This window comes from Homo sapiens, chromosome 1 (genome assembly GCF_000001405.40).
Source record: "Homo sapiens chromosome 1, GRCh38.p14 Primary Assembly".
In the NCBI taxonomy this organism is placed as follows: Eukaryota; Metazoa; Chordata; class Mammalia; order Primates; family Hominidae; genus Homo; species Homo sapiens.
In genome coordinates, this window is record NC_000001.11 from 149,996,647 (window position 1) to 150,013,512 (window position 16,866).

Below are 16,866 nucleotides of genomic sequence, written 5' to 3' on the forward strand. Positions count from 1 at the left end.
ACATACTTTGAATGAATTAATCTGTAAGGTTGCATAACAGTATCTATTTTATGGCATTGCTATGAGTATAAATGAGGTGTTATATAAAATGTTTAGTATAACTCAGGCTAGGATCTTGCTACTAAAGAGTAAAGTTTTCTTCCCTTTATTCTCCAGCCAGGTCAGAAGTTATGACAGACGAGCTGTGGCCACGAATAAGATAGGATAAGCATGGAAGAAGCCAAGCATTAGAAGATGTTTATTACTATCATCATGGGCCATACCTAGGATGACTGGTGCTTATTCTGGAGTTAGAAGCTTAATAACAGGCACAAGGATTTCTTGTGAGCATTACCTAGCAGAAAACATTTAAAAATGCTTAAAACTGTGACAGCAAGGAGCTGAGTTCCAGGAAGCAGCTGAGTTCCTAGTCAAAAAATCCGAGAATATTTAGTCTTGGCAGACGAAATTAAATAACAGTGCCAGTCCCTTACGGTAGGTGCATAACAAGTGTTAGCTGATTCAGAAAATTGTATTTTCAATCCTCAAGTATCTGTTATCACATAGATAAAAGTCTGGCAAAAGAAGAAAACAAGAAAAGGGGTAGGAACGAGTCACATCTTAAATATGCCTGACTATGTATTTTAAAAGCAAATACAAAAGATCTAAGGCTATTCAACGCTGTAAAAAATCTCCTATTAGCAAAAATACTCAATTGATTTATAGTATTTACTCTCCCTTTCAGGTAATAAGATCTATGTCAGTAAATTGTTTTTAACTGCTGACAGGGTAAATAAGTCTCAAAGATTTGGGTCTAAAGCTCTCTTCCTTTTACTAAAAAAAAGACTAATGGGCCTTTGAGGCTACTTCACCCACAGCTTTCAACTCAAGCAAGCCTACCTTCTTGCAGGGAGAGTGGGGGGACACTAATTGTATCTTCAAATTGGGAGTCAGAGAGACTATGCACTTAAATCCAAAATCTAAAGAAATCTTTCCCCTTGAATATGACGAATTGAATCTCAGAAGATAGCTCTAAGAAACCCAGGCCACTATTGCATTAAGAGCCTGATAGACTAAGTACACACATTTTGTGTCTAAATATAAGGAAAACCCATACGGAACTGAAACAGCTTGTGGTTAAACCTCACCATAATGTGGTCTTCAACTTCCCATTTTGTTTTCCAGGCATTGTTCTGTTTTTAACCACTTGACCCATCTCTTCTCAAGCAATGTGATCTAGTAGAAAGAGCACTAAACAACAATCAAAAGAACGGACGATACACACCAAGTCCTACTACTTACTAGGCATGCAAACATAAACCAGTTACTTAAACCCTGAATTCAGTATCCACTGAGAATGCTGAGCCAGACTCAGTACCTTTCAAAGCTGTCTACCAAGGTACCCCACTTCGGAGAGGCATCAGAAACCCACCAAACCCAGCTCTCCTTATTGCTATTACCCAGACTGAAAATGTGTGATCATTCTTACCTAACCTTTTTCACGATAATCAGTTACCAAATTCCCCTTATCTCTCTTCAAATTACTCAAATCTCTCCCCCTTTCTGCATTACCATTACCCTTGTAGACAGTCTTTTTCCTGGACTATTATAACAGTCCTCTAACTGGTATCCTTTCCTCTATTTTATACCACAAGGCTGAATCAGTTTTCCTAAAATACTAATTCATACAATACAATTCCCTACTCAGAGATTTTTCAGTATAAGTATAAAAACCAAATTCCTTTGGCTGAGATTTAAGTCTCACTCCAATTTATCTAACTCTCTAACTTTACTAACTTTACTGATCTTATTGCCCTCCTAGGTAAAACACTGTGCTACAAACTACTTTTCCTGCCCCCAAAACAAGGTGAGCTCAGCTCACTGGTTCTCCACCTTGAATGTTTCCCCGCTATATTTCTCTCTTCTCTAAGGTCTAGATTACCATAAAGGTAAAACTTTTCCCTATCTATTCCCTTTAAACTTCTATATAGCTATGTAACTGTACTCCTCACTTGGTACTTAGTACCTTGGACTTGTATTACTATTTATCTATTTATGCAAATATTCAGTGTTCACAAATAATTAGTGAGTTCTTAATGACTTTGACTGTTTCTATAATATACTGGAAGCCTAACTTTTCAGAGAACAGATATCCAATAAACTGTTGACAGTAACTACTACCTTAGACAAGTCATTTAAATTTTCTGGGTCTCATTTTCCTCACCTAGAAAATGACAATATGTAAATCTCTTTTCAGTTCTAAAATGCTATATGATATTAGATATACTGCTACATAGCCTGTATTTGTTTCTCACATTTTTTTTCTTTATATGCATTTATCTGTATGTAACCATGTCCTATGTAACCCAGAATATAAATTCCCAAGGGGCCAGTTCTCCTCCTGCTTATTTATTTACTGGGTAACTCCTCCTTGGCATCTCCTTAGTGCATTGTCCCCAGATTCCAGTGCACAGCCAAGTGTTCGGTGGAAAGGAATTTGTAGTTTCAATCAAGCAGCAAACATCAAGGGAAATTTGCACAGATGATTTAAATCTCAATTTTCATAATGAACTAGTATATTATACAAAATTACAAAGATGTGAGAAAGAAGGAACTTAAAGTTGTTAAAATGACAGGACACCTTGTGCCAAATAGCCAGGAATTTATTTTAGGCAAGCAAAGAAGCTAGGACACAGAAACTCTTAAGTCTAACTCTCAAATTCTATTTTCAGAGTTCTAAGAAGGGGTATGGAAAGTCTCTATTCATGTCAGTAAACAACAGGGACCAAGTATTGTTCATGTCAGAGAATCCTGTCCCTTAGAACTGATAGAAATTTTCAGGAAATTGATGGTTTCATACTTAGCCAGGTGAGCTACCAGTTCAAGGGAGGCAAAAGCAGATGCTCACAATGGAACACATAAGAGGAGATAAGTTTCTAAAATATATTTTTGTTGGAGCTAGGCATGGTGGCACACACCTATAGTCCCAGCTACTCACAAGGCTGAGGTAGGAGGATGGCTTGAGCCCAGGAGTTCAAGACCAGCCTGGGCAACATAGTGAGACCCTGTCCCTAATAAATAAATAAACAAACTACATTTTTGTTAGTTAGCATCATTGTATTTTCCCACTGTCGTGTCTTAATTCTTCACATGCGACTACCTTCATGTAAATATCAATATTAATTAACACTAAAGCCTCAGAGGAATTCGCTCTTCCTTTTCTTTTGATGTTAGCTGTTAATGATTCAAAAGGCACTAGTAGACTAACTCATTTAAAATGACCCTGACTTTTCAAAGAACTATTTTAGAACACAGCACTGGCACTTTCAAAGCTGCATTCTATCTATAATATTCTCTAAGTAGGTATCTGTAGAGTGTAGCCTGGATACAACTTTGATTAGTTAATATAAAAGGCTTATAAAGAATTCTAAGCCAGTTGTGGGAAAGATTATATCCTGCTGGAGAAAAAAGAAAATCAGGAACGTTTTTGTGGAAGAGATAGTTTACACTGGGACTTTAAGAATGGGTAAGTTTAAAAACAAAACAAAACAAAACAGGGCAAGTGGGAGCTGGGCATGGTGGCTCACGCCTGTAATCCAACACTTTGGGAGACTGAGGCAGGCAGATCACTTGGGGTCAGGAGTTCGAGACCAGCCTGGCTAACATTAGGAAACCCTGTCTCTACTAAAAAATACAAAAATTAGCCGGGTGTGGTAGCGCGCACCTGTAGTCCCAGCTACTTGGGAGGCTGAGGCAGGACAATCACTTGAACGCTGGAGGTAGATATTGCAGTGAGCAAAGATGGCACCACTGCACTCCAGCCTGGGTGACGGAGCAAGACCCTGTCTTAAAAAAAGAAAACAAAAAACAAACAAACAAAAAAACAGGACAAGTGGGGAGGGCAATGGAGAAAACAGGTTTAAAATTTAGGTGACTGAATGAACTAGATCTACCTGTAGACACATCTGAAAAGCAATGTTGAGAAAAAAAGTTACAAAAGGATACATACATGATCCTATTTATGTAAAATTTCAAAACAAAACTGTATGTTGCCTATGAATACATATGTGGGACCAGGCATGGTGGCTCATGCCTGTAATCCCAGCACTTTAGGAGGCCAATGTGGGCAGATCACTTGAGGTCAGGAGTTCAAGACCAGCCTGGTCAATAGGGCAAAACTCCGTCTCTACTAAAAATACAAAAATTACCTGGGCACTGTGGCACGCACCTGTAATCCCAGCTGCTCGGGAGGCTGAGGCAAGAGAATCGCTTGAACCCGGGAGGCAGAGGTTGCAGTGAGCAGAGATCGTGCCACTGCACTCCAGCCTGGGTGACAGAGCAAGACTCCATCTCAAAAATAAATAAATAATAAATAAATAAATAAATAAAGATGTGGCGGGGCAGAGGAAGTATAAAACATGAAGGAATGAACACATCAATTCAGGCCAGTAGTCATTTCTTGAGAAAGAGGAAGGAGGAAAGGATGCAGGGTGGAACTTCAGCTATATCTATAACATTTAATATTTTAAAGGGAGTAAGACATCTAACAAATATGACAAAATGTTAATGTCCATCAAGTTGGGGTTGTAGACTCAAAATTGCCTGAGTTTTTCCCCTGAACTTTTCTAAATGTTTGAAATATCTCATTATGCAAAATTGTAAAATTAATAAAGGGCCAGGTGATTTGATGAATAGAGGAGTCAACACAAAAACAGTCAGGAGCAGAATGGTTTCCCAAAACTATAAGGAGATATCTGACTTGTTCAGTTTTAGACTGAAGAGGAGCCTTCACATCCCTCAAACAGCAGCGCTTAGAACAGGGTAGAGTGAGGACTGACAAAAATGGACAAGAAGGTTTATTGCCATCTCAAATCAGATAGCAGAGGGGAGTGAAAAACCACCTTCCCACATAATTTAAATGCTAGTGTAACCAAGTTATCTCCCCTAAAACAGCCAAGAAAGCTTCCAGTTACACAGGAATTCAGATAAGTACTCACTGTGAGTAGCTATTCTGTGCCTCCTTTCTACCCACCCCTTCCTTCTCCCAAATACTCACAAACAAAAACAAAATGTACCCTTGCCCACTTGAGAAAGAATTAAGACTTGGCAGCTCTGCTTAAGTGGACAGCTTCCAAACCAAGGCCCTTCTCTGGGGAAGATGCTGACAGAGCCCAGAGAAAAGAATTTAAAAATCACAACTCAGACAAGTTTTGAGGAAGGCCTATCAATGGAAGGTATCCATCCTTCCACACGTCCTTAAGTCCCAATTTCTCCCAGGGGAATCTAAGGACTTAGAGGATGCCCTCTACCCTGTTCTGTTCTCCTCCAGCAAAAGTGACTAAAACACAAAATCCAAACTCTCACTTAGCACTTTAAAACCAAACAATTTCCCTCCACAAAAATCCAATGAAAATGAAAATACAGGGAAGATGCAGAATCTGAGTATTTAATATTTTAAAGAGAGTAAGACATCTAAAACAAATATGACAAAATGTTAATGTCCATCAAATTTGGGATGTAGGCTCAAAATTGTTTCTGTTTGGGTTTTTTCCCTGAACTTTTCTAAATTTTGTTTAGATATTCTTTTTTTTTTAGATAAATATACTTTTAATCAGTGCCCAATTTATCATAGCTTATTTAACAAGTTTCAGTGGCACAAATAAAACTAAGTTTAAAAGAAAACAACTTAAAGGGAGCTTAGTGGCAGAGATAAAGACATGCAACAAAACAAATACCTTGACATTCTTCTACATCTGAATCACTACAGCTGAAAAATCCTAACACCTCATTCAGCCCAGTCCAGGGCACCGAACTGCCCCTCTTCCCAATGGTACTCTCAGGGAACATCTTTCTCAGTCAGACCTAGGAAAATACCTCTATTCACTTTGGACTGGTTAAAAAAAGACGGTAGAATGGAATGATGTTAAGTCCTTCTATCTGCTAGTACAATGCAATGTGGCAGAATGACACAAACACTGAAATGGGACTTGGGAGAGAAGAGAGAGGTGAATTCACCTTTATTAATCACCTAGTACATGCTGAAGACTGAATTCTAGACTAAGCTATCACAGAACCACTTCTGTGATCCTGAGTAAACCTCAGGTATTCTATTTGAAAATGAATGAGGAAAACTAAGAAAGCATCGCAGCCCCGCCAGTTGTCTGATTCCATGAATCTGTAAATATGATCACTCTCAATAAATGTGTTCAGTATAATGAAGTTATTGAAAGGAATTCTGCTTTCTCCATCTCCAATCCACCCTACACACCACTGACATAATCTTTCTAGGATGTGAAACGTATTAAATGGCTCCTGATATACTGCAGTATAAGATAAAGCTCCAGGCCGGGCGTGGTGGCTCTCGCCTGTAATCCCAGCACTTTGGGAGGCCGAGGCGGGCGGATCGCGAGGTCAGGAGATCAAGACCATCCTGGCTAACATGGTGAAACCCCGCCTCCACTAAAAATACAAAAAATTAGCCGGGCATGGTGGCGGGCGCCTGTAGTCCCAGCAACTCGGGAGGCTGAGGCAGGAGAATGGCGTGAACCCGGGAGGCGGAGCTTGCAGTGAGCTGAGATTGTGCCACTGCACTCCAGCCTGGGTGACAGAGCAAGACTCTGTCTCAAAAAAAAAAAAAAAAAGATAAAAACTCTGTATGATCCAGCGTTGCCTACCTCTTCAGCCTGCCCTCCATCCCATCCTCCAGCCATAATGATTAAGTAAAAGTTACCTGAAGAAGTCTGGCCTTCATTCCTTTAAGCTTTTGTTCATGGTATTTTCTCAGACTGGAATGTAATTCTTGTCATCTGTAGAGTATATCCTTAATTCATCTTTCAAGACTCAGCTCAAATGCTAACTCCTCAGGGAGGCTCTTTCCAACCTCAGCATGCCCAAGGCAGAACTGACCCTTGGGCTCCCACTCTCCCTGCTGCATACTTCTATCACAGCATCTATCACACTTCATTCTATCTATATATTTACATATCTGTCTCCTCCCACTAGACCCATACGCTCCTCGTGGGTTCCTTGTCTCCCTTACCTCCATCTCAGTGCCTAGGATGGTGTTTACAAGATAGGAGACATGTTTAGGTTTAGACGTGTTTAGGTTTATCAGTACCATTTTCTTTGCCCTTCTGCTCTTTCCCTAAACTTTAGTCCTCAGAGAGCTTATTAATTCTCTTGGCTACAGCTACCACATCTAGGCCATGAATTGCAAAACTGCATTTCCAAACCTACCCCCATCTTTACTCCAGCTCACACCCAGGACAGCCTTCATTTGGACATTTCATTGCCACTTTAAATCCAACACATCGCAAATTATACTCATCATATTTCCCCAAAATGAGGAAAGCTTCCTAACTTCTTTATTTCACTCAATGTCTCAGACACCCAGGCACAACGTGTCACAGTTGTAGTTGACTCATCACCCTTCTTCATCTCCCACATCCACCCCTCATTAATTTCCATTTTTCCTTCACAGTCTCTTTTTCACTCTTTCCTCTCCTTAGCCTACCCTCCACAACTCTAACTCGGGCCTCATCACTTCACACACCCCCAGTGTCAATCTCCATTCCCTCCCAGCCAACCTGTGTATTAGTATCATCATACTGCTATTCTATTCAAAAATCTTCTACCATTTAAAATATAAAGTTGACCGGGCACGGTGGCTCATGCCTGTCATCCCAGCACTTTGGGAAGCTAAGGTGGGCGGATCACTTGAGGTCAGGAGTTTGAGACCAGCCTGGCCAACATGGTGAAATCCTGTCTCTACTAAAAATACAAAAATTAGCTGGGCATGCTGGTGCACGCCTGTAATCCCAGCTACTCAGGAGGCTGAGGCACGAGAATCACTTGAACCCAGGAGGCGGAGGTTGCAGTCAGCCAAGATTGTGTCACTGCACTCCAGCCTGAGCTGGACAACAGAGCAAGACCCTGTCTCAAAAAAATAAATAAATAAATACATAAATAAATAAATAAATAAATTTTATATATATATATAAACTTATAAGCCTAGCTTTTTAACACCCTCTATAAACATAGCTCCAAACCAACCTACCCACCTTCATTTCACTACTGCTCACTGCCACTCAGGTTAGTCTCCTCACCGCCCCAAGAACATCTCAGGTATAGTCCTGTTTCCAGGCTTTCGCTTGATCCCTTTCAGCTCCAATATGAAATGTTTTGTTATCCTCTTCATCTTCATCCCTTGTACCTAATACAATAACACTTATTCATTTATTTTTTTATTTATTTTGGAGACAGAGTCTTGCTCTGTCACCCAGGCTGGAGTGCAGTGGTGCTATCTCGGCTGTTTGCAACCTCCATCTCCTGGGTTCAAGTGATTCTCCTGCCTCAGCCTCCTGAGTAGCTGGGATTACAGGCGTGAGCCACTGTGCCTGGCCTATTTTTTTATTAAGATCTGAAATGAGTTATAATTCCTCTGTGACATAACTACCTGAGTACTCCTCTCCCCAAATACCTACGGTATGAGGTCTGCACTATGCAACTAACAATATAGTTTCACATTTTAAAATTTTGTGTGGCATATTAAGAGGCTCAGCAAGTATTCATTCCTTTTTATTCTTCTTACTCCCAACTGGACTGTAAACTCTTCAAGGACACAAAGTTGTCATTTTTCCTAATCCTCCATAGCACCTAGCAAAGAATTAAACTCATAGTGGGTCACTACAAATAACAGTTTAGTAATTTTCTTATCTACAGCTATTTCTTAGAGGAAATAAAGGGCTAAGGTATAATCCTAAAAAAAGCACAGTTGAAAATAATCCCTATCTAGTTGTATAAAATAAGATTCCTGACTTTTCCACCTGATTTCTAGCTCAGAAATACTACAATCTCCTGACTCAAGAAGTAAATAATAATCCTGTGCTCGTGACATCAGTTTGGTAATGATTATAAAGAGGTGGGGGAGAGTGGCAGGGATGGAGAAAAGCAAGTCAACTGGAGAAGAAAAAAAAGGGATGAAAGAATGGCATGTGATTTTGTTTACTTCTTAAATGTGGACACTTCTGCCCATTCCTTTTTTTTTTAATTGGACATACTTTCAAACAACTTTCCTACAGGAGGAAAAGTCTGACAGATTTTCAATGAAGCTGATATCTGGAAGAGCCTCTACAAAGCACAAGTCCTTTGAGAAAGCCGGCTTAATCTTCAACAACACAACATAATGTAGTGGCATTCGTCCAGATACTGTGAATGAAGGCTCATTCTGGCTGGAACACAAGCATCACCTGCCAGTCATTCTCAGACATAAGACAGACAGCCTAGGAGGCCACATTGGATCCATACAGATTTTGAAAAGAAATTGGTCTATCAACATATTCAGTGTAGTCTAGTCTTAATTATCTACAAATGGATTATTCATTTTACGGATTTCTAAGGCCAAATCTTTAATGCAAGAATGACTGTTCTTCATCATCAGTGTACTCTCCCCACCATCAGGTAATATAAGCTTAGAAATGCAAATTTATTTCAATATTAGTATGATCCCCAAAAATGAAAATAAATCTAGTTTAAAAAATAATGTATTTTCGGCCCGGCACACTGGCTCACGCCTGTAATCCCAGCACTTTGGGAGGCCGAGTCAGGCGGATCACGAGGTCAGGAGATCAAGACCATCCTGGCTAACACGGTGAAACCCCGTCTCTACTAAAAATACAAAAAATTAACCGGGCGTGGTGGTGGGCGCCTGTAGTCCCAGCTACTCGGGAGGCTGAGGCAGGACAATGGCATGAACCTGGGAGGCAGAGCTTGCAGTAAGCTGAGATTGCGCCACTGTACTTCAGTCTGGGAGCAAAGTTGTCATTTTTCCTAAACCTCCATAGCACCTAGCAAAGAATTAAACTCATAGTGGGTCACTACAAATAACAGTTTAGTAATTTTTCTTATCTAAAACTATTTCTTAGAGGAAATAAAGGGATAAGGTATAATCCTAAAAAAAACACAGTTGAAAATAACCAGGAAATGTCTTTGTTAAGTTCTGAATTACCTACAACAGTGCTCCCTACATTAGCAGAGACAACTGAGAGTTAAATGCACTTGAAACATAATGCTGTCCTTACTATAAGCTCTTGAGGAGAATCCGGCCATAGTCTTGAGACTTCCCCACAGGTTGGTGCACTACGAGACAGGAACAAGCAGGCTCAGCATAGTAAGGTGTGTAAACACAAAAACTTCTACAAGGAATCTTATGCCTCCTGGCTGTATCCCTTCAGGTTAGGATGGTACAGAAAATAAGAGTCACAATGTACGGATGCCTGCCTGATTCCTTGTCCCTGAGTTCCTGAACCAAAGGGCTCAATATTTCTCATTAAATCCGTCCTTTGTTCAAGGACCTACAATGATTCTATTGACCCTTCTATCAACACCCAACAGAGTCTGGCTTCTGAGTCCCCTCCACCCTCTTGCCTGCTCTACTCATGACTTGCCCAACCCACATTCTCTACAGTCACTCTCATATATTCCCCCCACTCACAACTTAGTCATTCATATCATCATTGCACACTGTACATTCTATACTTTCTGTTTGGAAGATCCTTTCTTTTCTTTTATTCCCAACACAGTAACTATTTCATTTACTTGAATGCTCACATTTTACAGATAAGGAAAAGAAGTTAACTTGTCCAAGGTCACATGGTAAAAAATAGCCGCAAGGTCTGAACGAAGACCCATCTAACTCAATAGCCCATACCTCTTTATGACTCATCCATAGCCTCCCAAGTCCATTTCAAAATTTACTGACTCAGAAATCTCCCCAATTTATTTCACTGATTCTTACTTTGTTACTTTAAGTCTTCTCAGCCCTTACATACTTATCAGCACGTTAAATTTGCTTTTGTCTATATGTTGTTTCCTAAATGTTAAAGCTCATAATAGTCTGCCTTCCCATATTTATACACCACCTTTCCCATCCACCCTCAACCCCAAGAGCAAAGACACATGTCTTTACATCTTTTATACCTCCCTAAAGCCTGTCACTGGAGCATGGAGACTGCTTTATCCAGAGAAGTGTTCAATCATTACTCAGCAAGGATGTCTTATTTAAAAACAAACAAACAACTCTCTTCTATTATATTAAAAAGTCAACTGAATTCAGGCATTCATGAGAAAAACTGCCCTGTATCTATCTTCCAGTTACACAAATTTTTAATTACCTGAATTTATCAGAGGCTACAAAAAAGATTCCACAGTCTGCTATTCCACAGCTCCTAAGTTCCCATAGGAAAGATACTGCTGAGGTCACATTTCAAAGCGCTGTTTAAGGATTTTCCCTTTGGTGGGATGAGTGTTTAGGGTAAGGAGAGTGCTACTCATACACACATACACCCACACTATAATGGCCAGTGTCTTTTAGCATGCTTAAGATACTCAGGAGCTCCAAAACTTTGACAAGTGGCACTTAGTGCCCTCATAACAATCAGAATACTTATTTTGGTTACATACATTGAATCTCAAAATTGCAAATAAAGCCTCCTGAGAACTAGGAATAGTGGTGGACTACCAGGCAGCTCTCCACTCATTCCTAGGCTTCTTCAACCCCTTTGATCCCCATGCCCTGGAATAAAGTATGCAGTTCAACTTAGGGAGTTGCTAGATGCAGATATAAATAGAATTTACCCAGATATCATCACTAATATTGGCACCAATCAACTCACACAGATCAAAACAATTATTGATCATCAACAGATTCTGGGAAAGGTGTATGTGGTTTTTAAAAATTAGATTTTCGTCTCCAAATTAAGTCGTTTTTTAAATAGGGGTCTCAAAAGAAAGATTAAACAAATAAAGCTTTGGGAAATTTTCCAAGTTGTTGGCAACATAAGGCCACTAAAGGCCACCTAATGATTAGCATTCATTACCAGTCACCGGGCCTTATACAAGTCAGTAGATAGCCAGCTCTTGCTTTGGCAAAGTTTTACATTTTTTTCCGAGGGAGTCTTCAGTATTAAAAGCAAGGAATAAGTCAAATAAGGCAATGACAATAAAAAATTAGTTTGGCACTATCTTCCTTCCATCTTTCCTTCTATCTTGAAAGTGTAATGTCCAAAGCAGATATCTGTTCAATTCTAAATTATTCATGTTAACGGATAATTATTGGCAGAAAGGTGGTGATAATCAAAAATGAGGGTAAAATCGAAAAAATCTATTTTGGTTTTGGAATATATGTTTTCAGCATATTTACCTTCTTAATTATTCCTAGTATGAGCTAATATTTGCATTGATTTGCAATCTCTAAGTACATAGTAACTGGCCACTTTGTCAGGGAGGTGCTCTGAGGCAAGCTGGGTCAATAGTGGAAATTAGAACGGTCGGGGGTATTCAGCCTGCAGAGGAGCAACATCAAGTTCATTTATTTTACAGTTTTGTTCAGCCTTCAAAATATCAATAGACTAGCACAGCAGGTTGGTTACTGAACGTTAAAAGAACTACTTGAAAAACAATGAAGACAAAGCGTATAATTAATTCTTCATTGTTTGCGCATAATGTATTTGTAAGTTATACACAGCAAATATTTAACTACCTCTGATTCTCCCTAGCCACCCAGCTTCCGTCCCTGAAGTCTTCTCCCCATCAGGAATGCAATCTCATTTAGTAGGAAGAAAATTTTCTACATGTTTTCAGAAGTTACATAGCATAGAAACTTTTTTAAATATTTAGGGGTTAGCAACTCTTTGGAGCCAGTCTTACCGCCACCTCTTTCTCTACTCTGTCCTTTTCCACCTTTGAAATAGATTCTGAAAGACAAAGGGATCCAGCCTCCTCAAAAATCTCCTAAATATACAGTACTAGAGGCCAAAGACTGAAAAATTAGCAGCATGTGAATTTCTAAGCAAAGCGTTACGTAGTACGTATAAAAAGATAAGGAAAATAAAAGTCAACGTCCTGCTAATTCTAGGCTTTGCATTCGTGAAAAGCTGCCTGAAAAGTTTGTGGGGAACTTCTTCCATAAAATTCCACCAGTCAGTTTCTAATTTCAAATTTTTACATCTTTATTGTGCCCAGAGAAGCCACCTAGGTTAGACAAGAAAGACTACCACGAGCGGGGAGAAAGAGACTCTGAGCGCTGGTCCTTGTGAGCCGACAAGCTAAAAATACGCCGGCCCAGTAAACAAATCCCATTCCATCCCGACCGGAGCCACACCGTTAACCTAGTAATTATGAGAAGAGTGAGATCACGCAGCCCCCGGCTTACTCATCATCAGCTTCTAAAGTTTCCATCGGCTCATGGCAACTTTTCTTTTTTCTAAAGTTCTTAAGACTGCCCTAGAATCCGTCAACCTCCGTCTCTCTCCCTCTCTCACACACACACACAAACACACACACACACCTTTTTCTCGCCTTTCCTCCATTACTGTATGCACCTTAGTTTGGCTATCAATAGGAAGAATAAGCTTATTTGCTTTTCATTTTAGTATTATATTGAGATTTTAAATGAACTTTATCCTACTGTGGGGATAATACACTGCATCTTAATCACCTTAAAACTCCACCATCCCTCCCGAAAGTCTAGCTGACAAGGGGGGACCGTCCAAACTGGCCAGCACAGCTCAGGAAGGGAGGCCGGGAGCTGGAGAGCGCGGGGTAGGAACGCAGGACGCAGGTGAAAGGGAGGAGGAAAGATCGGGACGAAGCAAGGAGCAGTCAGGGCGAGAAAGGAGTGCCGAGGGGAGATGGCTTCGGGTGAAACAGATTCAGAAAGGAGAAAGGGGACAGTGGCGATCTGAGGAGCAGAGTTTGCGAGTCTGAGAAGCCGGGAGGGGCGGGAGCAGACGGGGGACGGTGTCAGGACGGGGGGCTCCGTTACCCTCGCGGGCTCCCGGGGCAAGGCCCTAGGCCGGGGCGGAGCGCGGGGCCCGGCCGCCTCTCTTCATTCCTCGGCAGTGACCCCGGGGTCCGGCCGGCCCCTCCCCCGACGGCGATGGAGGTGGAGGCGGTGGTGGAGACTGCGACCGCAGCTGTTGCTCCGCACGGGATCTGGAGCTGGAGCCAGAAAGGACTGATCGGGACTGGCCTCCCCCAGTGGCTTTTTGCCCACTCCGCACCCGGTCGCCACTCCGGCTCCGGCGGCTGGTTCAGGATCGGTGGCTTTCTGCTGTCCGGCCGGAAACAGGCGCCAGTTTCCGGCCGGAGCGGGTTGGTGGTGACACCCAGGCCGCCCCCGGGCCTCCTCCCGCTCCGCCCCGTCGCAGCCCCGCCTTTAGCGCCGCTCCCCAGGCTGCGGCCAGTTTGGCGCTTGCCCCGCGCGTGACCCCGTGTTTTCCCGACCCGAGTCCCTAAAGCTCCTGGTCTGGAGCATTCTTGAACAGGAGTTGGAGGAGTACAGGGTGGACTCTTAGGACTCTGGGGTAGAATCAGTTGGCTACAGCCGTTGGGAAGGAGCTGAAAGGGGTGGAGTAGTTGTAGAAAGGTGAGAGAGATGAAAATACTTCAGAATGAAAAGACTGACATTCTAGTAACTCTACACAATCATTCTGGAGTGACCGGAGGAAGATTAGCTTCTTCCACACCAGTCTCCACCCAATTATATATTTCTCTTGTTCCTTCACTCTTGAAGTGAACATATCCTTCTCTGTAAACACTTAATATTTATTTACTTGCATAACAGTGATACCCTGTTGATACATCTGCTTTAGACTGCTAACAGTAAAAAAAACTTACATAGTGCGTTTGTTATGTCTTCTAGTGCGTTTGTTATGTCTTTTAAAACATTATGGCATAATTCAAATATGTATTGTATCCCTGTGATGTGTATCACTGCTCTCAGTGATACAGGGGGATACAAAAATTAACAAGACATAATCCCAGACATCAAAGGTTTTACAATTTAGTAAAATACATAAAACTATATTATATGTAGCAGAACTTGTATGTGTCCTACCTGAGTGACAATGAGCTATGGCTATGAGAACATAATAAGCCATCCTTGTCACATAGTAGACCTTCCATATTTGTTGAATGAATGAATAAGTATTAGGCCTGTGTGGACTGTTTCAAGAAAGAAAGGCCATTTAGTAAATACCTCTTTATGACAAACACAAAACGATGCCAACCCCGGCTATACTCTAACAAAAGACATTTGAAATTTTAATTCAGATTCCTAACATTATAGCACCTGGTCTGCATATTCAAAATAATGTATTGCCTAATTGTGCCCATTATGCCTATGTAAAAACAAATACTCTAGTCAACTTTTCTTTCCCCTCACTTCTTCCTCAGTTTCTAAAGGGGAGGCGTGGGGCATAGGCATTTTAGAATTGTCTAGCTCAGAATAGGAAACTGACACCTGAAACAGGGAAACTTCCTAGACAGCTATATCTCTTAGGGATACACCTGGGTTTACAATCGAAAATTTAGGGCTGGGCCCAAGGCTGTCCACACATGCTAAGGCCAAACAAGTCAGAGTGCCTTGCATGGGGGCATATCCAAGACATACAATAGAGGTTGACAAGTAAAGTCATTTGGCGTGGGCTTCAAGCGTATAAGGGACCACAAATTTTAGCTACCGTTTAGTGGTAAATTTAAGGAGGAGAGCAGGATGAGATTTGGTCACCTAAATTGACTCTAACTGAACTCTAACTGAACTGAACTGGAAGGGTACGGGGGTGGACGCTTGGGACTCTGGGGTAGAATCAGTTGGCTACAGCCGTTGGAAAGGAGCTGAAAAGGGTGTCGTTCTAGAAAGGTGAGAGGGATGAAAATACTTTAGAATGAAAAGACTGAAATTCTAGTAACTCTACACAAACATTCTGGAATGATTGTGACAACAATCACTGACCACACCTACCCTTTGCTAGTTAAATCTGAGATGGGAGCACAGATCTGTAGAAGAGGAGCCTCAAAATCTGAAAGTTGCCTTGTTTCACCACAGCTGTCCAGAACCAGGTTATACCCATATAAATATGTCTTTCTAATCTTAACGCCACTGCCACAGACTTAATAGAACCAGGCGTGGAGCTCAAAGGCACTCTACCCTCAATATAAGACTTTTTCTTTTGGCAGTGACCATAGAAGGTCTCCAGATTTGAAAGCTGGGCCAAGTTGCTGGTCAAAGTCATTTAAGTGACCACACTTTATAGGCTTGCCTGGAAATTTAGGGGCCAGGAAGTGATGGGGTCACAGTTGCTTTGTGCCTATTTCTTGCTCTGACCATCCATCATTCATTGTTGTTTGTGCAGTTGCTCAATGGGCTGCTTGTCTTTGGTCAGCCCAGGCTGTGTGGGTAGCAGTGTGGTCAGCTGGGCTGGGAGCCAGGCCACCTGGGTTCTGGTCCCAGCTCAACCAGTCCCTAATCCATTAAGTGACTCCCTTCCCATTCCTGTGTCTCAGTTTCTCTGCGTAGAAACTAGAGGCTTCTTCTCTAGTGATATGCAGCCATTTAGGCTGGCACTAGGTTGGATGCTCAGAGGCAGCTGTTTAATGTAGACATTGGCAGCAGCCAGAACACAGTTGACTATTTCTTGCTGCTAGGTAGAATAGTAAGGGAAAAAAGGTAAAAGCACCAGACAAAATCCTACCGGTGTACACAGGGCCACACACCCTCAACTGCTATTCTGTCCAAAGTTCTTTTCCACCCTAGAGATCTGTTTTTGTTTACTCGTCTTAGCAATTCTAAGGGCTGCTTCAAGGAGCTCCCTGAGCTTTTACATCACTTTAAGCAAGAGCAGAAAAACCAGAGCTTTGCATTTCACCAGAGAAACTAAAAAGAGAGACTATTTCAATACTGGGGCTAATGGCTAGAGTTGGGGAAAATGTTCAGAGAAAGGTTGTAGCTAGGCAGGGAAAAAAACTATTTACATTTATATGCTTTTGTGGTGGAAAAGAAAACCAAACCAAAATAACTTCCTTTCCACCGCCACCAATATAATTTAG

General features: G+C 41.4%; 1 protein-coding gene and 1 long non-coding RNA gene across 11 annotated transcripts in view, besides 5 other annotated features; one reads left to right on the forward strand and one right to left on the reverse strand.

Annotated features, from left to right (window-relative positions):
* OTUD7B (OTU deubiquitinase 7B) overlaps positions 1 to 16,866 on the reverse strand; it is a 129,842-nt gene that overhangs the window by 58,835 nt on the left and 54,141 nt on the right. For 2 of the 10 annotated variants that reach the window (XM_047425720.1, XM_011509784.4), the window contains exon 1: positions 14,040 to 14,080. The exons of 3 other annotated variants lie outside the window; for them this stretch is intronic. The gene's annotated coding sequence lies outside the window, so the exon portion shown is untranslated. Of the gene's footprint in view, positions 1 to 10,058; positions 14,081 to 16,866 lie in introns of those variants that run through there. 5 more of the 10 variants (NM_020205.4, XM_011509782.2, XM_047425717.1 and 2 more) reach the window with 3 other exon arrangements.
* Positions 12,825 to 13,707: an enhancer, noted in NCBI's record as "H3K27ac hESC enhancer chr1:149981420-149982302 (GRCh37/hg19 assembly coordinates)". NCBI's record gives its function as "activates a minimal SCP1, AML or CMV promoter by ChIP-STARR-seq in naive H9 embryonic stem cells {active_cell/tissue: H9 hESC(naive)}" and the evidence as "EXISTENCE:reporter gene assay evidence [ECO:0000049][PMID:30033119]".
* Positions 12,825 to 13,931: a biological region, named in NCBI's record as "H3K27ac hESC enhancer GRCh37_chr1:149981420-149982302".
* Positions 13,072 to 13,121: an enhancer, noted in NCBI's record as "active region_1668". NCBI's record gives its function as "activates an Ori minimal core promoter by ATAC-STARR-seq in GM12878 lymphoblastoid cells {active_cell/tissue: GM12878}" and the evidence as "EXISTENCE:reporter gene assay evidence [ECO:0000049][PMID:35858748]".
* Positions 13,642 to 13,931: a silencer, noted in NCBI's record as "silent region_1291". NCBI's record gives its function as "represses an Ori minimal core promoter by ATAC-STARR-seq in GM12878 lymphoblastoid cells {active_cell/tissue: GM12878}" and the evidence as "EXISTENCE:reporter gene assay evidence [ECO:0000049][PMID:35858748]".
* Positions 14,192 to 14,241: a silencer, noted in NCBI's record as "silent region_1292". NCBI's record gives its function as "represses an Ori minimal core promoter by ATAC-STARR-seq in GM12878 lymphoblastoid cells {active_cell/tissue: GM12878}" and the evidence as "EXISTENCE:reporter gene assay evidence [ECO:0000049][PMID:35858748]".
* Positions 15,817 to 16,866, forward strand: part of LOC124904413 (uncharacterized) — a 45,061-nt gene continuing 44,011 nt past the window's right edge. Inside the window, exon 1 of the long non-coding RNA XR_007066598.1 lies at positions 15,817 to 15,879. This is a non-coding gene — a long non-coding RNA (uncharacterized LOC124904413). The remainder of the gene's footprint in view (positions 15,880 to 16,866) is intronic.